General features: G+C 39.4%; 1 pseudogene across 1 annotated transcript; it reads right to left on the reverse strand.

Annotated features, from left to right (window-relative positions):
• Positions 1–285: 285 nt before the first annotated feature.
• On the reverse strand, positions 286–24,957 carry LOC650226 (ankyrin repeat domain containing 26 pseudogene; annotated as a pseudogene). Its single transcript, NR_029420.1, has 6 exons — positions 24,801–24,957; positions 9,070–9,283; positions 4,967–5,023; positions 3,417–3,592; positions 2,717–2,845; positions 286–1,219 (listed from the first exon to the last, which is right to left on the reverse strand). The product of NR_029420.1 is annotated as an ankyrin repeat domain containing 26 pseudogene (transcript).
• Between the last annotated feature and the right edge of the window lie 380 nt (positions 24,958–25,337).

Below are 25,337 nucleotides of genomic sequence, written 5' to 3' on the forward strand. Positions count from 1 at the left end.
GGATTACAGGTACCCGCCACTGCGCCCGGCTGATTTTGTATTTTTAGTTGAGATGGGGTTTCTCCATGTTGGTCAGGCTGGTCTCGAACTCCCGACCTCAGGTGATCCGCCCGCCTTGGCCTCCCAAAGTGCTGGGATTACAGGCATGAGCCACTGCACCCAGCCTATTCTACATACTTTTATATTCAACTATATATAACATTTAGCATAACCAAATATTACTTTAAATTTTCTTTCTTTCAGTTTGAAAAATATCTTTCTTGGTACTTACTTTTTTTTCTTTCTCTTTTTCACATTGATATATTCTTTCTTTCAAATTATTACATACATTGATTAAGTCTTTGTTTTTCTCTTCTAGCAGAAGACTCTGCATTTCACTCCCAGCTAGATTTTTTTACAACGGCATGGATTTGGTCTTGGATAGTACTGATTGTCTTTTCTTGATTGTCAGCTTTCTTGTGGGCATCATCCAGTTGCTGTTGAAGCAACCTATTTTCACTTTGTAGTTGAGCACATCTGTCCTCTATAGATTCCTGCTTCTTCAGCGTATTTATTTACTTTGCTTTGTTCATTTTTATACATTCGTTCAATTTCTTTCTTTTGACACTGTGTTTGGCCAAGGTCTCTTTGGAAACATTCTAAAACTGACGTCTTTTCTCTGAGTGTTTCTCTTGCATGATGAAACTTAATTTTTAGGCTGTTAATTTTACTGTCAGCATTAGAGAGTTTTTTCAGAAACAATCTGTTATCTTTTAGGTTAGACATATCAGAATTCATTTTCTCCTGTAAATGAACCCATTCATGTCCTGTTCTCTGGAAAGCAAGTTCTAGGTTTTCTTATGCTGTCTGACTTTGATCACAATCATGTACGGCAGCAGCCAGCCTGCATCGATATGACTGAATTTCCATTTCCAGTCTTTCCATGTTGTGTTTTACATTCTCAAGTTGAGAACTGAGTTTTATTCTTAGCTGTCAAAATGCTAAGCTGTCCACTGTACTGAAATACTATTTTTGTTGATGTTTCCTCATTCAGTTTTATCATATTTTGAAGGTTGTCATTCTTTTATTTCACACTTTCAACATCCTTCAAATATTTCTTTTCTTTCAGCTGGTTCTGATGTTTTATTGTGTCTAGTTCCAGTCTTAGCATGGCAATTTCTTCCTGCAACATACTATTTTTATGCAACAGGTCTTCTTCTTTCTCATGGCTTTGAGAAATCTAAGTAAACAAAGGAAACTTAGCACTCAATAGAATGACATATCATGGTTTCTTCTGAAATTAAAGAATAACCTGTATATTTGTACAATGAAAGGATTCCCATAAGTGGATATTTAACTGAAAAAAATATTAAATCAAAATTTCAAACCTCAGAGTGTAAATTCCCAAAAGTTAAAAAAATCTATTTGAAGACAATGAATCAATAAAAGTAAAAAATAAACCACTAGAGGATTTTTAAGACTCTCAGAATTGACAAAGCCTTTCTCTGAATTACAAAAAACCCAGCGGCATAAAATATGAGATTGATACATTTGACTACATTTTTAAAATTTAAAAATTTTAAAATCTGATATCTAACCTATACACCACCCCATTGTAAGACTCTTAGTTCTGCATTTATTTGGACTGAAGAAATTTCTCAAAGTTCTCTAAGTTCCTTTTTCCTGATAATGTTCTATAGATATTCTACTTTTCTAACAATTTTATTGTAAGTTATAAAGATTACACTTATTCATAAATGTTAAATCTAAGCATTGTACATTTCTACATTTTACACTTCTACATCTAAGCATTGCACTTTTACATACATTACTGAACTCATTTAAGGTCGCAATTCTGAAGAGGAGAGACTGAAATATATGCAAGATGCAGGATTTTCCCCAGGTCTTCTGATTCTACTTCTAGTCCTCCTCCATCAAATTGCAGTTACTTCTGTGGTGTAAATATATAAATACAAAAGAAGCCTCTTATATAAAAATACCAATGGTAAAATTTATAGAGATCTTCTTAAAAAATCATGAGATTATTTGCTATTGTAATAACTTTTATTTCCTCTTTATAATGTTTGAAACAGTAATGTGTGAAATAGGGGGAAATACACTGAACTATTTTTCCAGAAACAAAACACTTACCAATAAATTATCACTAAATGTATATTATTCTACATCATTGTTTTCAAAGCCCTTTGCATTGAAATTAGATACTACTTGGAGAAAACTTTTAAGTTCTTCAAAAGTAAGAAGAATGACATCCATAATATGGCCTCTAAACTGGCTATACATTTCCTCCTTATCTATCAGTGAAAATAATAAACTGACTTCTCCATTAATATTTTGAGAAGATAAAACAATGTCCAAAAACTAGAATGTCTGTTGTTAGTACCAAAAATTTTGAGATTATGGAAAGATCATCAATTCTTATAAAAAATATCAAATGCTTCTTCTTTGGATTGAGGCCATTGTGAATGTCACTACTTCACTGCTGCAGACTAATGGAGCTGAATTAAGAATATGGCTTTATCCTACACACACACACACAAGTGTATATTCTATATATAGATACACAAACACATAGGATGTGTGTGTGTGTGTGTGTGTGTGTGTATATATATATATATATATAATTTAAAAATACTTTATATTTTCCAAGGTACATAGAGTTGGTTTTTCAAATATATACACATACAAAAACATATTTGAAAATGACTAAAGAAAATACCTCAGAATTCATTTTCTTTTGAGCCCCTTCGACCTCCTTTTGCTTACTGGTCAGAATCTCATCTTGTAATATTCTGGCATTCTGCTCTTCAGAAAGTTGCTTGTGGGTATCGCTTCGCTTCTGCACAACCTAGACATACATTACATTTTTGGTCTAATAGCATTGAAAAAGAAAATCTAAAAGAACAGAACCTTTTTTGTAAAACTGTTAAAAAAAAAAAAGTAGCCTATTAAAACACAAGGACTTTTATCCCTCAGGAATTACTCAAACTTTAATTGCATACATGACAGCTAAATTTCTCAAAGAGGAAAAACAGTTCTTACCTACAGAAAAATACAGTATTGTGTAATAAAATTTCTTTCAAAACATTTAACTAGCTTTGTTATAGTCTCAAAGCTATAGAGCCTGTATTTTAACATAAAAAATACACAAATATTTATGTGATTAAACTCAATTTATCCTCCATTCCTTCATCCAGAAAACATAAGAGATAGTTTGAGCATCTAAGACCGAACATCACAGGCAGAGATGCCAAGGTTTACAATAAATAGCTATAAATGTCATACTTCCTTTTTAAGATTAAATAAGTCTTGGTATGTTTTGAAACTAAATTATATACATTACATCAAAGGAATATTATAAGTAATACTGATGAAATATAAAGTTAGAAATATAAAGTTTTCACCAAAAATTAATTTACCTGATCCAAATTCTTTCCTAATGTCCTCAATTCTGTGACCAGTGATTTCAGAGTCTGTTTGAGTTGTTGTTTCAACTTCTTTCCCACATTCCTTTTCTTTTCTTTTTAACTGTTCACTGTCTTTTTTAGGCAATATATCAGCATTTCTTCCCTTTTCTTCTTCTTTTAAGGTCATTCTACAGTAAAACATATTAAAATTTGTTTTCTTAAAAAATAAAAAGTTTATTTTGTTATCTGGCTCTTCCTACGCAGTGTTTATTATTCAAATAAAATTTCTATGTTCTTGACTATTTTTCCTTTCTAGTTCTCATGTTTTTAATTTCTCACTTCAGTCTCTTCCAAGGGATAAATATACTTGAAAGGTAGTGAAGAAAAAACATCCTGCTAATTGGTGAGTTTCTGTTATTAGCAATTCTGATAAATGTTATGGAAAAGAATATTGGAAATTATTTAGTATAGTTACACGTTGCAAATTACTTCTTTTTGGCAGGGCGCCGTGGCTCACGCCTGTAATCTCAGCACTTTGGGAGGCTGAGGTGGGCGGATCACAGGGTCAGGAGATTGGGACCATCCTGGCTAACACGGTGAAACCTCATCTCTACTAAAAATACAAAAAAAAATTAGCTGGGTGTGGTGGAGGGTGCCTGTGATCCCAGCTACTCGGCAGGCTGAGGCAGGAGAATGGCGTGAACCTGGGAGGCGGAGCTTGCAGTGAGCTGAGATGGCACCAATGCACTCCAGCCTGGACGACAGAGCGAGACTCCCTCTCAAAAAAAAAAAAAAAAAAAAAAGAAAAAGAAAATTACCTATTTTTCACATAGTCATAATAACTCAATTAGGACAGATCATTTCAAATTAACTAATTAAAAAGAACATACTACTTATAAACAACTTTGTAAATTCACTAGAAATAAATTTTAATTTTCATGAAATACTGCAGGTATCCCTAAAATGATTTACAGTGCAAGATGGCTCCATCGGGCCGGGCGCGGTGGCTCAAGCCTGTAATCCCAGCACTTTGGGAAGCCAAGGCGGGTAGATCACCCAAGGTCAGGAGTTCGAGACCAGCCTGACCAACAAGGTGAAACCCCATCATTACTAAAAATACAAAAATTAGCCAGGGCTGGTGGCAGGCATCTGTAGTCACAGTTACTTGGGAGGCTGAGACAGGTGAATTGCTTGAACCTGGGAGGTGGAGGTTGCAGTGAGCCGAGATCAGGCTGCTGCACTCAGGCAGCCTGGGTGACTGAGTGAGACTCCGTCTCAAAAAAAAAAAAAAAAAGATGGCACCAACGGATGTCAGTCACACAATATATATCTGCAGATTACTATAATCCAATACAAGGCAATGGGGTCTAATATCTGTTAACCCAGCTGTCCCCGGTCTTTTTGGCACCAGGGACTGATTTTGTGGAAGACAATTTTTCCATGGACCTGGGGGAGAGGGGGCTGGTTTAGGGATGATTCAAGCACATTACATTTATTGTGCACTTTATTTATATTATTATTACATTGTAACATATAATGAAATAATTAATTATATAACTCACATGATGTAGAATCAGTGAAAGTCCTGAGCTTGTTTTCCTTCAACTAGACAGCTCCATCTGGGGGTGATGGGAGACAGGGACATATCATCAGGCATTAGATTCTCATAAGGAGAGCACAACCTAGATCTCCAATGTGTGCAGCTTACAGTAGGATTTGGTTCACGCTCCTATGAGAATCTAATGGTGCTGCTGACCTAACAGGAGGCAGAGGTCAGGTGGTAATGTAAGTGATGGGGGGCGGCTGTAAATACAGATGAAGCTTTGCTTGCTCACTTGCCGCTCACCTCCTGCTGTGTGGCCTGGTTCCTAATAGGCCATGGACTGGTACTGGTCCGTGGCCTGGGGGTTGGGGACCCTTGTGTTAACCAATACTTTTTATGTTTATTTTTTGGTAACACTTTCCACTTATCTTCTTGATTCTTATGTATTTTATAAACAATTTTAAAATTCCTTTTGTGACAAGATAGGATCTAATATTTAAACAATAAAGAATAACGTGTTTTTTTTTTGTTGTTGTTTTTTTTGAGACTGAGTCTCCCTCTGTCGCCCAGGCTGGAGTGCAGTGGCGCGATCTCGGCTCACTGCAAGCTCCGCCTCCCGGGTTCACGCCATTCTCCTGCCTCAGCCTCCTGAGTAGCTGGGACCACAGGCACCTGCCACCATGCCTGGCTAATTTTTTATATTTCTAGTAGAGACGGGGTTTCACCGTGTTAGCCAGGATGGTCTCAATCTCCTGACCTCGTGATCCGCCCACCTTGGCCTCCCAAAGTGCTGGGATTACAGGCGTGAGCCACCGCGCCCAGCCAACATGTGTTTTCAACATAGAACTTTGAATTAATTGTATCTGTATAGGAGAGAGAGATGTGAAATAAACTAATCATTACTCACTTTCCGTTTTAGTTTTTATTTCACGTATATTAATAAAACTGGGAAGTCCCAGCTGGGCATGGTGGCTCACACCTGTAATCCCAGCACTTTGGGAGGCCAAGTCGGGTAGATCACAAGGTCAGGAGATCGAGACCATCCTGGCTAACACAGTGAAACCCCATCTCTACTAAAAAAGAAATACAAAAAATTAGCCAGGCATGGTGGCACGCAGCTGTGTCCCCAGCTGCCAGGGAGGCTGAGGCAGGAGAATCGCTTGAACCCAGAAGGCGGAGGTTGCAGCGAGCTGCGATCACGCCACTGCACTCCAGCCTGGGTGACACAGTGAGGCTCCATCTCAAAAATAATAATAATAAAAAAATAAAATAAAAAATAAAACTTGGAAATCCTAGGCAGAGCAATTGGGCAAGAGAAATAAAGGAATTCCAAATTGGAAAGGAGAAAGTTAAGCTATCTCTGCCAATGACACGATCTTATACCTAGAAAGCCCTAAAGATGCCTACAAAACACTCCTAGATTTGATAAATGAATGCAGTGAAGTCTGAGGTTACAAAATCAATGAATCCAAATCAGTAGCACCCATATACACCAACTATGACCAAGCTGAGAGTCAAATCAAGAACCCAATCCCTTTTACAATGGCTGCAAAAATGTAAAATACCTAGAAATATACTAATGAAGGAGATGAATGATCTATATAAAGATAACTAGAAAACACTGCTGAAGGAAATCACAGATGACACGAAGTGAAATACATCCTATGATCATGGACTGCAAGAATTGATATTGTGAAAATGACCCTAATGCCCAAAGGAGCCTACAGATTCAAGGCATTTCCCATCATAATACCGATGTCACTCTTTACAGAATTAGAAAAAAAAAATGCTGAAATTCATGTAAAACCACAAAAGAGCCTGAACAGCAAAAGACATACTAAGCAAAACAACAACAACAACAACGAAAAGTCTGGAGGCATCAAATTACCTGACTTCAAATTATACTATAAGGCCACAGTAACAAAAACAGCATGGTACTAGTATAAGAGTAGATACATACATCAATGGAACAGAATAGACAACCCACAGATAAAGCCATTTACAACCAAATATTCTTTGACAAAGTATACAAAAACATGAACTGGAGAAAGGACACCTTATTCAATAAATGGTGCTGGGAAAATAGGATAGCCACATGTAGAAGAATGAAACTAGATCCCTATCTCTCACCATATATAAAATAAAAATTAATTCAAGATGGACTAAAGGCCTAAATCTGATACCTGAAAACATTGGCCTAAGCAAAAGATTTACGATGAAGAATCTAAAAGCAAATGTGACAAATAATTTAACTAATTAATTAATAATTAAACTGAAAAGTTTCTGCACAGCAAAAGAAATAATCATCTGAGTAAACTAACAACCTATAGAATGGGGGGAAATATTTGCAAATCACGAACTAGATAAAGGACTAATATCTAGAATCTACAAGAAACTCAAACAAATAAGCAGGAAAATACAAATAATTCCATTAAAAAGTGGGCAAATGACATGAATAGACATTTCTCAAAAGAAGATGTACAAATGGTCAACAAGCATATAAAAATATGGTCAATATCACTAATCATCAGGGAAATGCAAAATAAAACAACAATGATATATCACCTCACTGCAGCTAGAATGGCCATTATTAAAAATCAGAAGCAATAGATGTTGGTGTGGATGTGGTGAAAAGAGAACACTTATACAGTGGTGGTGAGAATGCAAATTAGTACAACCTCTATGGAAAACAGTATGGAGATTTCTCAAAGAACTAAAAGTAGATCCTACTATTCAATTCAGCATTCCCACTTCTGGGTATCTACTCAAAGGAAAAGAAACCATTATGTCAAAAAAACACCTGCATGCATATGTTTATTGCAGGACAATTCACAATATGCAAAGATGTGGAATCAACCTGTGTGCATTAGCTGATGAGTGGAATATATATACATATATATATCACAGAATATTACTCAGCCACAAAAAAGAATGAAAGAATGTCTTTTGCAGCAACTTGATGGAGCTGGAGGCCATTATTCTAAGTGAAGTAACTCAGGAACGGAACAACAAATACCACGTGTTCTCACTTACAAGTGGGAGCTATGCTACGCATATGTGAAAGCTGACAGAGTGGTATAATGACATTGGAGGCTCAGAAGGGAGAAAAGCATAAGAGCATTGAGAGACAAAAACTACCTATTGGGCTACAATGTATACTATTTGGGTGATGGGTACACTAAAATCTCAGACTTCACCAGTACACAATTCATCCATGTAACCAAAAACCACTTGTACTCCTAAAGGTATTGAAATAAAAAAAATTAAAGGGAGAGTAAAAAGAAGAATAAAACTGTATAACGTTTTTAAAAAGTATTCTGGGTTGAGACAAGTGGCCATTTTATGCTCTGTTGGTTGAACTGTAAAATAATACAAACATCCTTGAGGACAATTTAGAAATATTAATCCAAGGCCTTTTATAAAAAAGTTCTTGTATTTTAACCAAAATATTCTGTATTGAAGACTTGATTCAAAGTAAATAATTAGAAATGTAGAAAGTGACTTAGATAAAAGACGTTCTGGGCTGTATATCATGGCTCACGCCTGTAATCCCAATGTTTTGGGAGGCCGAAGCAGGAGGATTATTTGAAGCCATGACTTAGAGATCATCCTGGACAAGACAGTGAGACCTTGTCTCAATGAAAAACTTAAAAAGTTAGTAGGGCATGGGGGCGTGTGTCTGTAGTGCCAGCTACTTAGGAGGTTGAGGCAGGATCCCTTGAGCACAAAAGTTCAAAGTTGCAGTGAGCTATGATCACACTACTGCACTCCAGCCTCAGCGACAGAGCAAAACCCTGTGTCTAAAAATAGTAAGAATAAAAGATGTTCCTCACAGCATTAATTCTAACACAAAATAATTTCAAACCCCAAATTCAATTTGTTAAATATTGAGGTTCCCATATGGTAGACTTCCATACAGCCATTAAAATCACGATTTAAAATATACAATTATTAGAAGAATTCACAGTTAAAAATTTGTTACCTTATTTCCAAGAATTTCATATTCCACAAGTGCAAGACATTTTCTCCCCATTAAGCCCCAGAGAGTCAGCAATTGCAAAAATTCTTACATATCTTTAGTATAGACAGTTAAAATATTTATTTAAAACTCAAATGTCATACCTCAAACTGTAGCGTTCTTGTTCCCATTGACCTTTTTCATGCTCTAACTGTAATTGTGTTTCTTTTGCTTCACATAGCTCCTTTTGTAGTACACCAACCATATTTTCCATTTGTTTAATATTTACTGTAAGTTGTTCACAATGATTATTCTTAAGTTCTAATAAGTGTTCCCATGAAAGAACTGCATCTTGCATTTTCGATAGGCTAACAGAATCTACATGAGGGAGAAAACAGGGTGGAAATAAAATATGAGTACTTTTTGCATAAAAAGGACTGTGCATTTTAAGTCACCCATCCATACACCTAACAAATATGGACTAAGTTCCTAACATGTGGTCTGCTGAGCTTTGCAGATACAACAGACAATACCTCTGCTCTTGCTCAGCTTTCAGTGTAGTGAAGAACAAAGACAATAAAAGTGAAAATTACAAATTCAGATAGATACTGGAAGAAAACAGTTCTATGGTACATACAATCTGATGTATACTGGGCTCAGGGAAGATTTCCTTGATGAAAAGACGGCTACACTGAGAAATAAAGGATGAGAAGGAAGCAGTTAAGTAAAGGGGGTAGAAGAGCATTCTAGCCAGTCTGTGGTAAGTGCTGAAGCTCTCCTGCAATCTGCTTCTGGCCATGATGGAGAAACAGGTACTGATTTACCTTCTTGTCTGAAACAATCAAAAACAAAAAAGACAAAATATATTATACAATGATTTTCAAGAAAGTGGAGTTCAGGTACACTTTGGAAGGCCGAGGCAGGCGGATCACCTGAGGTCAGGAGTTCGAGACTATCCTGGCCAACATGGTGAAACCCCATATCTACTAAAAATACAAAAATTAGCTGGGTGTAGTGGCGCAAACCCATAGTCCCAGTTGCTCGGGAGGCTGAGGCAGAAGGATCACTTGAACCCAGGAGGTGAAGGTTGTAGTGAGCCGAGATCGTGCCGCTGCATTCCAGCCTGGGCAACAGAGCAAGACTCTCCAGAAAAAAAGAAAGTGACTTCAGGTAACAAAGATAATGATCCCTGTAAGAGAAAACAAATGAAGTAAGCCTTACAAACAACCCAGCTCCCTGACTTGACAAAGTTTCCATGCCATGACACAGGGAGAAAAAAAACTGAGGTAGAGTCCACCAGATTCTCTGAGTTGGAATGATGAAGCACAAAAAACCAATAGCAGAGTGATGAACAGTACATGTGTGCTAGGAAACTACCTGAGACCAGGGGAAAAAAATCTTTAAAAAATTAGAAACAGTGAAAAATAGTGCCTGTTGCTCACAATGTGTAAGGAAGAGTGTCCATTCCTATGAGCAATACTGGAAAAACTCGGGCTTCACAGGGCAATGAACAGAGTTATTGGAAACACCTTGCCTCAGAAGTGGAAAATTAGACCAAACCATAAAGCAAGACCAGAAATATCAAGCTGTGTATAAGTAACTCAACTGTGTCCCAAAATAAATCTCAAGCAGAGACATGGGAGATATTTTCTGAAAGCAAACTGTATGTGTAGAGATTCAAATTAAAATGTCAGAAATGAAAACTATACTGGATGGAAATGAATACAGACTAGACATCACAAAAGAGAAGATTCATAAATTTGAGACATCAGAGAACTACGAGAAAACTTTAAGCAGTAATATACAGGTCCCCAAAGAGAAAGGGAGAGAGACAGACAAAATATAGAGAGCAGGTGGCCAGAAATTTTCTAAACTTAATGAAAACTATAATCCCACAAATCCAGGAAGGATCTGGCTGGGAAAGAGGAAATGAAATTATACTATTCTAATTTTCTTATGCCATATACGATATGGTATAATACTGCCTGAAGGTGGACTGTGATAAGATAAAATCATATAGTACAAATTGTAATGAAATCACAAAGATAGCAAAAACAGACTTATAGCTAATAAGCCAAAAGAGAGAGATAAAACAATCATAAAATTACATGACTGGCCAGGTGCAGTGGCTCACGCCTGTAATCCCAGCACTTCGGGAGGCCAAGTGGGGGCAGATCACCTGAGGTCAGGCGTTCGAGACCAGCCTGGCCAATGTGGTGAAAACCCATCTCTACTAAAAATACAAAAAATTAGCCAGGTGTGGTGACAGGCGTCTGTAATTCCAGCTACTTGGGAGGCTGAGGCAGGAGAATCGCTTGAACCCAGGAGGCCGAGGTTGCAGTGAACAGAGATCATGCCGTTGCACTGCAGCCTGGGTGGCAGAGTGAGACTGCATCTCAAAAAAAAAAAAAACATGGCTAATTGAAAAGAAAGCAGAAAAAGAAGAAAAGAAAACAAAGAACAGCTGGGACTAATGGAAATGAAACTGTATGATAACAGATAAACTTAACTATATCAGTAATCACATTATAAATGAAACCAGCCTAATAACCTAAATTAAAAGGCAGATTGTCAAACTGTATAAAAAAGCAAGATCCTACTCCCTGCTACCTATAAGAAATACTTTAAATGTAGGCCAGGTGCAGTGGCTCACGCCTGTAATCCCAGCACTTTGGGAGGCTGAGGCAGACGGATCACGAGGTCAGGAGATTGAAATCATCCTGACTAACACGGTGAAACCCTGTCTCTACTGAAAATACAAAAAATTAGCTGGGCGTGGTGGCAGGTGCCTGTAGTCCCAGCTACTCAGGAGGCTGAGGCAGGAGAATGGCGTGAACCCAGGAGGCAGAGCTTCCAATGAGCCAAGATCCCGCCACTGCACTCAAGCCTGGGTGACAGAGTGAGACTCCATCTCAAAAAAAAAAAATAATAATAATAATACTTTAAATGTAAAGATGCAAATTAGTTAAAAGGATGGAAAAATATACACCATGCTAACAGTTAACAAATAAAGCCTAGCAGAAATGGTTATATTAATACCAAAGTAGATTTCAGAGCAAAAAATATTACTAGCTATCAACAAAATTATTTCATAATGATAAATGGTTCAATTAATCAAGAGCACATAATCCTAAATGTTTATGTACCTACTAACGTAACAGCTTCAAAATACATGAGGCAAAAACTGATAGAAGAAATTGACAAATTCACAGGTATAGTCTGAGATTTCAATATCGCTTACTCAATACATGACAGAACAAGGAGGCAGAAAATCAGTAAGACTAGAGTAGACTTGAAGAGCACTATGCTTCTCAAGGACCCATGGAACACTTAGCAAAACAGATCATATTCTAGGCCATACAGTAAATCTTCATAAAAGAATTAAGTCAAAAGGATTTAAGTCATACAAAGTATGGTCCCTGACCACAGAGCAATCAAATTAGAAATCAGTAATAAATAAACCCGACAGTAAGTCTAGGCCATAAGGACTGCAACTACTAGGCAAGTCCTGGCGCTGTGCTGGGCTCAGAGCCAGTAAATATGGGATCATGTGACCTATTGAGACACCAGCTAAGGGAGTACTTGTGCTACCCCTCCCCTAACCCCAGACAGTGCAGCCTACCACTCTGAAAGAGACTACTTCCTTCCACTTGAGAATAGAGAGAAAAAGAGAACTTTGTCTTGCAACATGGATACAAGCTCAGCCACGGTAGGATAGGGCACTGGGCAGAGTCGTGAGGTCCCCATTCCAGGTCCTGGATCCTGTATGACATTTCTAGACACAACCAGGGCCAGAAGAAATCCCACTCCCTTGAATGGAAAGACCCAGTCCTGGCAGGATTCACCACCTGGTGACTAAAGACCTCTTGGGCCCTGAATAATTAGTAGCAGTAGGCCGAGCGCAGTGGCTCACGCCTGTAATCCCAGCACTTTGGGAGGCCAAGGCGGGCGGATCACGAGGTCAGGAGATCGAGACCATCCTGGCTCACACGGTGAAACACCATCTCTACTAAAAATATAAAAAATTAGCCAGGCGCTGTGGCGGGCGCCTGTAGTCCCAGCTACTTGGGAGGCTGAGGCAGGAGAATGGCGTGAATCCAGGAGGCGGAGCTTGCAGTGAGCCGAGACAGCACCACTGCACTCCAGCCTGGGCGAAAGAGCGAGACTCCGTCTCAAAAAAAAAAAAAAAAATTACATGCCATGGGGCTTGGAAGAGATGCTGAGATGAGCTGGCTCAAGTGTGACCCAGCACACTCCCAGCTAGGGTGGCTACTAGCAGAGATTCCTGCTTCAGAAAGGCAGAGGAAGGGTTAAAAGGACTTGGTCTCGCAGCTTAGGTACCAGTTCAACCACAGTGGGGTAAAGCACCTAGCAGGCTCTTGGGGTCTCGTCAGTGGCATTTCTGGACCTGCCCTAGGTAAAGAGGAGCCCACACTCTGAAGGGTGAGTTCCAGGCCCAGCAGCATTCACCACAAGCTGACTGAGGAGCCCTTGGGCTTTACATGAACATTGGTGGTAGCCTGATAGTATTCCCGTGGGCCTGTGAGTGCTGAATATGAGAGACTCTTCTGCCTGTGGAAAGGGGAGGGAAGAGTAGGAAGGACATTGTCTTGTGGTTTGGATGCCAGCTCAGCCACAGTAGAATACAGCACCAAGTAGATTTCTAATGTTTCCAACTCTAGGCCTTGGTTCCCAGAAGGCATCTCTGGACTAAATCGGGACCTAGGGGAACTTGCTCCTCTGAAGTGAAGGACACAAGCTTGGCTGGCTTCACCACCTGTGGACTGTATGACCCTAGGGACTTGAATAAACATAGGCAGTAGCCAGGTAGTGGTTACAGCAGTTCTTGGGTGAGACCCAGTGCTGTGCTGGCTTTAGGTCTGACCCAGCATAGTCCCAGTGGTAGGGGTCCTAGGGGTCCTTGTGTTACCCATCCAATAGCTCCAGGAAGCTCAGCACAGAGAGAGAGAGAGACTCCATTTCTTTGGAAAAATAATGGAAGACAACAAGAGTCTGTGCTTGCTGATCCAGAGCATCCTTCCAGATCTTATTCAAGACTACCATGCCTCTATGAGTCTGCCAAAAATACAGTGTTACTAGGCTTGGAGTGCCCAACCATGCAGATATACCTGCAGTGACCAAAAGCAGATCACAACACCCCAGTCCTTTCAAATACTTGGAAAATCTTCCTAAGGAAGATGGGTATAAGCAAGCATAAACTGAGAAGACTACAATAAATACCCATTCTTTTCAATGTCCAGACACAAATGAACATCCACAAGACTGTCCACAAAAACATGACTTCACCAAATGAACTAAATAAAGCATGAGAGATCAATCCCAGATAAACAGAGCTATGTGACCTTTCAGATAATTCAAAATAGCTGTTTTGAGGAAACTCAAAGAAATTCAAGATAACACACACACAAAGAATTCAGAATTCTATCAGATAAATTTCAGAAAGAAATTGAAATAGTAAGAATCAGGGAGAAAATCTGGATTTGAAAAATGCAATTGACATACAGAAGAATACCTCAGTCTCTTAATAGGAGAATTGATTAAGCAGAAGGAAGAATTAGTAAGCTTGAAGACAGGCCATTTGAAAATAGTCAGAGAAGGCAAGAAAACAAAAAAGGAAATTAAGCATACCTACAAGATCTAGAAAGCAGCCTCAAAAGGGCAAATCTAAGAGTTATTAACCTTAAAGAAGAGGCAGAGACAAGGATGGGGTAGAAAGTTTATTCAGGCTGGGCGCGGTGGCTCACGCCTGTAATCCCAGCACTTTGGGAGGCTGAGGCGGGCGGATCACGAGGTCAGGAGATCGAAACTATCCTGGCTAACACGGTGAAACCCCACCTCTAATAAAAATACAAAAAATTAGCTGGGCGCGGTAGCGGGCACCTGTAGTCCCAGCTACTCGGGAGGCTGAGGCAGGAGAATGGCGTGAACCCGGGAGGTGGAGCTTGCAGTGAGCTGAGATAGCGCCACTGCAGTCCGGGCCTTGGTGAAAGAGTGAGACTCCATTTCCAAAAAAAAAAAAAAAAAAAAAAAAGTTTATTCAAAGGGATAATACCAGATAATGCCCCAAACCTAGAAAAATATATCAGTATCCAACCTCAAGGCATTTAATAATCACACACGCAAAGGTCAAAGATAAAGAAAAGATCCTAAAAGCAGCAAGAGAAAAGAAACAACATACAATGGAGCTCTAATATGTCTGGCAGCAGACTTTTCAGTGGAAACCCTACAGGCCACGAGAGCGGCACAGCATAGTCAAAGTGCTGAAGGGGGCTGGGCGCGGTGACTCACACCTGTAATCCCAGCACTTTGGGAGGCCGAGGTGGACGGATCACAAGGTCAAGAGATGGAGACCATCCTAGCCAACATGGTGAAACTCCGTCTCTACTAAAAATACAAAAATTAGCTGGGTGTGGTGGTGTGTGCCTGTAGTCCCAGCTACTCGGGAGGCTGAGGCAGGAGAATTGCTTAAACCTGGGAGGCAGAGGCTGCAGTGAGCTGAGATTGTGCCATCGCACTCCTGCCCGATGACAGAGCGACTCCATCGAGAAAGAGAAGAAAGAAAAGACAAAAGATGATAGGATGAACTGACCAAAAATAATAACGATAACTTTTCAAGACATAGTACAATCAGATATAATAGAAACAAAAAGTTAAGAAGCAGAAGAATAAAGTTAAAATGTAGAGACTTCATTACTTTTCTTTTTGCTTGTTTATGCAATCAGTGTTGTCAACAGTTTAAAATAATGGGTTATAAGATATTGTTTGCAAGCCTCATGGTAACCTTATATATGAAAACATACAATAGATATGCAAAAAATAAAAAGCAAGAAATTAAAACATACCACTGGAGAAATCACCTTCACTAAAAGGAAGACAGGAAGGAGGGAATTAAGGAAGAAAGACCGCAAACCAGAAAACAAACAAAATGCAGGAACAAGTCCTTACTTATCAATAACTTTGACTATAAATGGACTAAACTCTCCAATCAAAAGACATAGAGTAACTGAACTGAAAAAGAAAAAAAAGGCCCAATTGTTGCCTACAAATAACACACTTCACCTGTAAAGACACACACAGTTTGAGAATTAAGGGATGGAAAAAGGCATTCTGTGCAAATGGAAACCAAAAATGGGCTGAAGTAGCTATACTTGTATCAGACAAAATAGATTTCAAGACAGAATTGGCTGGGTGCAGGTGCTCACACGTGTAATCCCAGCACTTTGAGAGGCTAAGGCGGGCAAATCACTTGAGGTCAGGAGTTCAAGACCAGCCTAGCCAACATGGTGAAACGTCCTCTGTCAGCAAACAAAAATTGGCTGGGCGTGTAGTCCCAAGCTACTCGGGAGGCTGCAAAAGGAGAATCGCTTGAACCCAGGAGGCAGATGTTGCAGTGAGCTGAGATTGTGCCACTGCACTCCAGCCTGGGGAACAGAGCGAGACTCTGTCTTAAAAAAAAAAAAAAAAAAGAAACTAACTTCAACAGTGGGTCAATGAAGAAATTAAGAAGGAAATTTTAAACTTTCTTGAAACAAATGATAATGGAAACACAATATATCAAACAAATGAGATACAGTGAGAGCAGTACTAACAGGCAAGTTTATACCCATGAGCTTCTACGTCAAAAAAGTAGAAAAACTTCAAATAAATAACATAATGCTGTACCTTAAAGAACTAAAAAGTGGCTGGGCACGGTGGCTCATGCCTGTAATCCCAGCACTTTGGGAAGCTGAGGTGGGTGGATCACCTGAGGTCAGGAGTTCAAGACCAGCCTGGGCAACATCGTGAAACCCTGTCTCTATAAAAAATGCAAAAATTAGCTGGGTGTAGTGGTGTGTGCCTCTAATCCCAGCTGTTCGGGAGGTTGAGGCAGGAGAATTGCTTGAGGTGGAGCCAAGATTGCGCCAATGCCTGGGTGACAGAGCAAGACTCCGTCTAAAAAAAAAAACTGAAAAGCAAGAGCACACCAGACACAGAGTTAGTAGAAGAAAAGAAATAACAACAGTCAGAGCAGCAATAAATGAAATTGAAATAAAGAAAATACAAAAAGTCAATAAAACAAAAGTTGGTTTCTGGATAATATAAAGAAAATTGAAAAATGTTTAGCCAGGGTAAATAAGAAAAAGAGAAAATCCAAATGAATAAAATGAAAGATGAAAAAGGACGCATTATAACTGATACCACAGAAATTCAAAGAATCATTAGAGGTTACTATGAGCAACTATAGTCCAATAAAGCTGGGAAATCTAGAAGAAATGAACAAATTCTTAGATACATATAACCTACCAAGATTGAACCATGAAGAAATCCAAAACCTGAATAGACCAATAACAAATGATGAGATGGAAGCTGTAATAAAAAGTCTCCCAGCAAAGGAAAGTCTGGGACCCCACAGCTTCACTGCTGAATTTTGCCAGCCATTTAAAGAAGAATTTGTACCAATCCTTCTCAAACTATTCTGAAAAACAGAGGAGGAGGGAATACTTCCAAACTCGTTCTACAAGGCCCATCTTACCCTGATACCAAAAGTAGACAAAAGCACAACAAAAAAAAAGACAATTACAGGCCAATATCCCTGATGAACATTGATGCTAAACTCCTCCACAAAATACTAGCAAACCAAATGCAAAATTAGATTTAAAAGATCACTCATCGTGACCAAGTGGGACTTATCCCTGGGACCCAAGGATGGTTGAATACATGCAAATCAATGTGTAATCATTATCAGCTGAATGAAGGACAAGAACCATATGATCATTTAAATTGATGCTGAAAAAAACATTCGATGGAATTTAACATTACTTCATGATACAAACCCTCAAAAAACTGGAGATAGAAAGAATATACCTCAGCACAATAAGAGCTGTATGTGACAAACCCACAGCTAGTATCATACTGAATGAGGAAACACTGAAAGCCTTTCCTCTAAGATCTGGAACACGACAAGGATGCCCACTTTCACTACTGTTATTCAGCATAGTACTGGAAGTTTTAGCTAGAGCAATCAGATAAGAGAAAGAAATAAAGGGCATCCAAATTGGAAAAGAAGTCAAATTATCCTTGTTTGCTGATGATATAATCTTATATTTGGAAAAATCCTAACAACTCCACCAAAAATCTATTAGGACTGACAAATTCAGTAAAATTGCAGGATACAAAATCAACCTACAAATATCTGTAGCATTTCTATATGCCAACAGCACACAATCTGAAAAATCAAGAAAGTAATCCCAGTTACAACAGTTTCAAATAAAATAAAATACCCAGAAATTAACCAAGTGAAAGACCTCTACAATGAAAATATAAAACACTGATACAAGCAGACTGGGCGTGGTGGCTCATGCCTGTAATCCCAGCACCTTGGGAGGCCGAGGTGTGCAGATCACAAGGTCAGGAGATCAAGACCATCCTAGTCAACATGGTGAAACCCCGTCTCTACTAAAAATACAAAAAAATTAGCTGGGTGTGGTGGCGTGTGCCTGTAATCCCAGCTACTCGGCAGGCTGAGGCAGAAGGATCCGCCTTGAACCTGGGAGGCGGAGATTGCAGTGAACCGAGATTATGCCACTGCACTCCAGCCTGGCGATAGAGACTCCGTCTCAAAAAAAAAAAAAAGAAGAAGAAGAAGAAGAAAAAACATTGATACAAGCAATTGAAGAGGGCACACACAAAAAATGGAGATTTCATGTTTACATACTGGAAGAATCAGTATCATTAAAATGTATATATTACACCCAAAACTATGGATTCAATGCAGTCCCTATCAAAATACCAATGATATTCTTCATAGAAATAGAAAATATAGGCTGGGCATGGTGGCTAACGCCTGTAATCTCAGCACTTTGGGAGGCTGAGGTGGGCGGATCACCTGAGGTTGGGAGCTCGAGACCAGCCTGACCAACATGGAGAAACCCAGTCTCTACTAAAAATACAAAATTAGCCGAGTGTGGTGGCTCATGCCTATAATCCCAGCTATTTGGGAGGCTGAGGCGGGAGAATCACTTGAACCTGGGAGGCAGAGGTTGCACTGAGCCGAGATCATGCCATTGCACTCCAGCCTGGGCAACAAGAGTGAAACTACATCTCAAAAAAGAAAAGAAAAGAAACAGAAAATATAATCCTAAAATGTATATGGAACCACAAAAAACTCAGAATAGCTAAAGATTTCCTAAGCAAAATAACTGGAGGAATCACATTACCTGACCTCAAATTATACTACAGAGCTATGGTAACCGAAACAGCATGGTACTGGCATAAAAACAGGCATATAGACGAGTGAAGCAGAATAGAGAACCCAGAAACAAATCCATGCACCTACAGTAAACTCATTTTCAACAAAGGTGTCAACAATATATACTGGAGAAAGGACAGCCTCTTCAATAAGTGGTGCTAAGAAAACTGGACATCCACATGCAAAAGAATGAAACTAGATCCCTGTTTCTTGCCATATTCAACAATCAAATAAAAATGGGTTAAAGACTTAAATCTAAGTCTTCAAACTATAAACCTACTACATGAAAAACTTGCAGAAACTCTCTAGGACACCGCACTGGGCAAAGATTTCTTGAGCAATCAATACCCAATAAGCAGGGGCAACCAAAGTAAAAATGGACAAATGAGATCACATCAAGTTAAAAAGCTTCTGCACAGCAAAAAAGTGAAAAGACAATCCACAGAATGGGAAAAGTCTTTGCAAACTATCCATCTGATAAGGGATTAATAACCAGAATATATAAGGAGCTCAAACAACTCTATAGGGAAATCTAATAATCCAATTAAAAAATGGGCCAAAGATCTGAATGGCTATTTCTCCAAAGAAGATGTACAAATAGCAAACACATATATAAAAAGGTGCTCAATCAATATCATTGATCATAAGAGAAATGCAAATCAAAACTACAATGAGATATCATCTCACCCCAGTTAAAATAGCTTTTATCCAAAAGACAGGCAATAAATGCTGACATGCAAGTGAAGAAGAGGGAACCCCTGTACACTGTTAGTGGGAATGTAAATTAGTACAACCACTATGAAGAACAGTTTGCAGCTTCTTCAAAGAACTAAAAATAGAGCTACCATATGATCCAGCAATCCCACTGCTAGATATATACCACCCCCCAAAAAAGGAAATTATTATATCAAAGAGATATCTGCACTCTCATGTTTATTACAGCACTATTCATAATAGCAAAGATTTGGAAGCAACCTATGTGTCCATCAAGAAACAAATGGATAAACAGGATGTGGCAAGCATACACAATGGGGTACTATTTAGTTATGAGAAAGAATGAGATCCTGTAATTTCCAGCAGCATAGATGGAACTGGAGGTCATCATGTTCAGTGAAATAAGGCAGGTACAGAAAGACAAACATCATATGTTCTCACTTATTTGTGGGAGCTAAAAATGAAAACAATTGAACTTATGAACATAGAGAGTAAAATGATAGTTACTAGAGACTGGGAAGGGTACTGTGAGTGTGTGTCAGGGGAGTGAGGATAGGTAATGGATACAAAAAATAGAAAAAATAGGATCTAATATTTGATAGTGTAACAGGGTGAGTATAATCAATAATTATTTAGTTGTACATTTAAAAATAAAGAGTGTTAAGTGGATTGTTTGTAACACAAAGGATAAATCTTTGTGGTCATAGATACCACATTTACCCTGATGGTGATTATTACACAAACTATGCCCATATCAAAATATGTCATATATTCCATAAATATATATATATATACACCTACTATGTAACTATAAAAATTAAAAAAAAGAAAACTGGTGTCAATTTACAAGACTGGACACTAATAACACTGCAAAAAGTGTCGGGTTTTTTTTTTTGGACATGCCTACATCTCAACCAAAGATTAAAATGTATACAAAGCATCAGGGTAGCATGACCCAATCAATAAAAGAAAACAAACATCCAGAAATCAAACCCAAAGAAACCAAGATATGGCTGGGTGCTGTGGGTGGTTCACGCCTGTAAGCCCAACACTTTGGGAGGTCAAGTCAGGCACATCCCTTGAATCCTGGGAATTTGAGACCAGCCTGGGCAAAATAGCAAAATCCTGTCTCTACTAAAAATACAAAAAATTGGCTAGGCATGGTGGGGCATGCCTGTAGTCTCAGCTACTCAGGAGGCTGTGGTAGGAGAAACAGCTGAGACTGGGAAGTTGAGGCTACAGTGAGCCGTGATCATGCCACTGAACTCCAGCCTGGGTGATAGCAGTGAGACCCTGTCTCAAAAAAAAAAAAATGTATAAATTGCCTGAAAAAATTTAAAGTAACCATCTTAATGGCACTTGATGAGTAAATCACAACATAGACAACAAAATAAAATCAGGAAAATGAAATGATCAACAAAGATAGAAACTATAAGGCAAACAAATTGTAGAGCTGCAGAATACAAAAATGATTGAGAAATTATCAAACTTAAGGAAGGAAAAAGACCTTAAAACTTAAAGAACTCAACAAACTCCAACTAAACACAAAGAAACCCACTATGAGAAACATCATAAGCCAAGTTTCAAAAGCCACAAAGAGAGAATCTTGAAAGAAGCAAGAGAAAGGTGATAAATTATCTGTAAGAGTGCTTCAGTAAGATTACTCGTAGATTTCTGAACAGAATCCTCACAGGCTAGAAAAGAGTTGGATAATATAATCAAAGAGCTGAAAGAAGAAAAACTTCCAAGCAAGAATACTATAACCAGCAATACCGTCCTCCAAATGAGGGAAAAATACAGATTTTCTAAGGCTAACAGAGATTAAAAAGTATATCACTAATAGACTTGCCCTACAAGAAATGCTAAAGGGAGTCTCTTCCATTGAAAATGAAATGATGCTACAAAACAACACAAAATCAGATAAAAATAGGTGACTCTCAGGAAAGATAGGCACATACACAAAAATAAAATTTTGTAGGATAATAATACTGCAGAAAACACTTTTAATTATGCTCTAAAAGTTGTACGTCAAAAGCATAAAAATAGAAATAAACATCTGTTAATGTAAATATAAAATAGAAAGTTGTAATTAGTGACAATAATAACAAAGTTGAGGGTAGAAAATAATGAGAAAAACTATTTGTATACAACTGAAGTTAAGTTAAGATGTTATCAGCTTAAGATGCACTGCTATAACATTAAGAAGTTTAATATAGCCGGGCGCGGTGACTCATGCCTGTAATCCCAGCACTTTGGGAGGCCGAGGTGGGCGGATGGCCTGAGGTTGGGAGTTCGAGACCAGCCTGACCAACATGAAGAAAGCCATCTCTACTAAAAATACAAAATTAGCCGGGCATGGTTGTGCATGCCTGTAACCCCACCTACTGGGGAGGCTGAGGCAGGAGAATCGCCTGAACCTGGGAGGCAGAGGGTGCGGTGAGCCAAGATCACACCATTGCCCTCCAGCCTGGGCAACAAGAGCAAAACTCTGTCTCAAAAAAAAAAAAGAAAAAAAGGTTTAAGATAACCCCCATGGCAACCATGAATAAAATACTCAGATATAAAATAAGAAAGGAGTCAAAGCATGTCACTACAAAGATGAACAAGATGCAAAGACAGAAGAGGGACAAACTGGGTACAAAAATTAAATAAAAGAAGTAAGAAAATGGCAACAGTAAGGCCTTCCCTTTCAGGAAATTATTTAAATATTCATGGACTAAACTTTCCTATCAAAGGACATATATTAAATAGAGATTAAAAAATAAAAACTCGAGGAAACTATATCCTGTCTCTAAGACAAACACGTTAGATCCAATACCAAAAATAGACAAACTGGCAGGATGGAAGACATTACATGCAAATATGAATGAAACAAGAGCAGGAGAGGTCACAATTATATTAGGCAAAATACCTTGCAAGTAAAAAATTACTATTTTTTTTCACTTTAGCATGCTCTACTGGATATTTAATATACATTTTTTTGTATTCATTATAAAGTACTCTTCAATAGTGAAACAGAGGTTAGTATGTTTTTAATCAGGAAATACAAGTACAAGTCTCTAATTTATATTTAGATGGTCTGATTCACTCAAATCCTGAAGTGGCAGGCTGCCAGATGCCTGGAACCTCTTAACAGTAAAAGTGACATCAGAAATATATAGTAATGTTCTTACCAAAATTAATAAATGCTTAGATATAAGAACGACTACTTAAAACTTCTAAGTCACAAAACACCGTGCTAAAGGTTTTTAGCAACCTCTTCTTTACAGAACATAATTACTTCTCTTATGTGGGGGTAGATTTGTGAATAGGCCAAAATTTCATAGGAAGGTGGGACATGGACCTTCCCCCTCCTCATTAGAAGTCATTTCGTCAGGACTTATGGTGGCCATATGGTGTTCCAAATGCTAACAGGAAACAAATGAGTCAACTTATGCACATGAAAAGCAAACTATGAATAACGAATAAGGAAGGGGGGAAACAGTTCAATAAGTTCAGATACAACTTGATACTGTCACAGGCTGTCACAGACCTCAGTATCTTCTTTATGGCCTAAGGAAACTGAGCCACCAACAGGAAAAAAGGTCACCTCACAGAGAATGCTGTGAGATTCTTAAGTTGCTAGACTCCTTTCCATCTTCTTCTCCTCAGGTCGATACTGCCGTCAAATTCTACACAATTCAACATCCATCTTCACATAACAATTAGTGTGACCCAAATTCACCCAAGATGTTAAAAGAAGGGAAGACAATCTACTAGGATTAGCCATAACTGTCCACAGTTGCAGGATGGAAAAGATATGACATGCAAATATGAACCAAACGAGAGCAGGAGAGATCACAATTATATTAGGCAAAATACCTTTTAAGTAAAAAATTACTATTTGTAGTAAAATATACCTTACGTCAAAACTGTCAGAAGAGACAAAGAACATTAAATAATAATAAAAGGTTTCTATTCACTGGGAACCTATGAAACATACAGACGTACATAGGTAAACAAATAAAAATCAGGGTTCCCTCATATATAAAGCAAACACTGACAGAATTTAAGAAATAGACAGTAATATAATAATAGCAGGATACTTCAATACTCTACTTTCAGTAATGAATAACAAAGCAAAACCAAATATAAACAAGGGAACAAAGGACTTGAAAGCACTATAAAACAATTACACCTAATAGACACATAGAAAGCATTACACTCAACAAAGGTAGAATTCACAACCTTTTTTTTTTTTTTTTTTTTTTTTTGAGACAGAGTTTCGCTCTGGTTGCCCAGGCTGGAGTGCAATGGTGTGATCTCGGCTCACTGCAACCTCCGCCTCCCAGGTTCAAGCGATTCTCCTGCCTCAGCCTCCGGAGCAGCTGGGATTACAGACGCGCGCCACCACCCCCGGCTAATTTTGTATTTTTAGTAGAGACGGGGTTTCTCCTTGTTGGTCAGGCTGGTCTCGAACTCCCGACCTCAGGTGATCCGCCCGCCTCGGCCTCCCAAAATGCTGAGTTTACAGGCGTGAGCCACCGCGCCCGTCCCAGTTTATTTTTTCCACAGGAAAAAGGAGGGACTGAGGACCCCACGGACCACAGCTCCTCCCACCCAGGAACGCGGCACCCCGAGGCGGGATTCTCCACTGAAGATCCCCAGGAGGTCACCGCACAACCTGAGGAAATGCATGGTTGCGGGCGTGGAGCTGCCCCAGGAGGGCTAGAGCCAAGCCGAAGTCACCGAGCAGGCACGGGTAGAGATGGGATGCCCAGGCTCCCGGCTGCCGCCCAGCCCCACCCTGCGCCGAAGGAGACTGAGAGCCGAGCTGCGCCGGCGGAGACTCAAATCCTGGTCCCTGCAGCGGACCGCGAGAAGGCCCGGGTCCCCCCAGAGCTCGTTCCAACCACAGGTCTACCCCCCAGGACAGTCTTTCCGCACACTCACTGGTTCTTGTCTTCTGTGGTGTCCCGACATCTTCCCAATGGACCTTCCAGTACCTGCAGGTCCCAGGGCCATGGAGGCAATGGCGGAGTCACTTGGAGCCTCGCGGAGAAAACCGGACAGAGCAATGGACACCAAACACGCAACGGACACACAACACTGAGCTCCGCGGGTCCGGAAACAAACACCCAGCCAGGTGGTGGAAGGCCGCCCCTTCCTCCGAGGCTGGCACCTGATTGGACAGTTCCACACAAGCGCCTCTGATTGGCTAGGGATCCTGACCCCGCCCTGCAGGGCCCTGATTGACAGAAGCTGTGTTCCTGCCTGGGACAGGCGGCCCGAAGGACGTGTGTTTGGCTGGCTCAGCCCTTTGCTTCAGGGCTTCCTTGCGGTGCTGGCACGTGGCCCCTCCAGGGGAACATCTGCATTTAAGCAGAACTTGGTTGTGCCTTTCCAGTGTTCCACTGTTGGCCTCCTGCACTTCCTGAGTTCTTTCTGACCTTTGGATTTTTGAGGCGGCAGCCTGAGCTTTCACAAGAG

Source organism: Homo sapiens, chromosome 7, assembly GCF_000001405.40.
Source record: "Homo sapiens chromosome 7, GRCh38.p14 Primary Assembly".
NCBI lineage: Eukaryota > Metazoa > Chordata > Mammalia > Primates > Hominidae > Homo > Homo sapiens.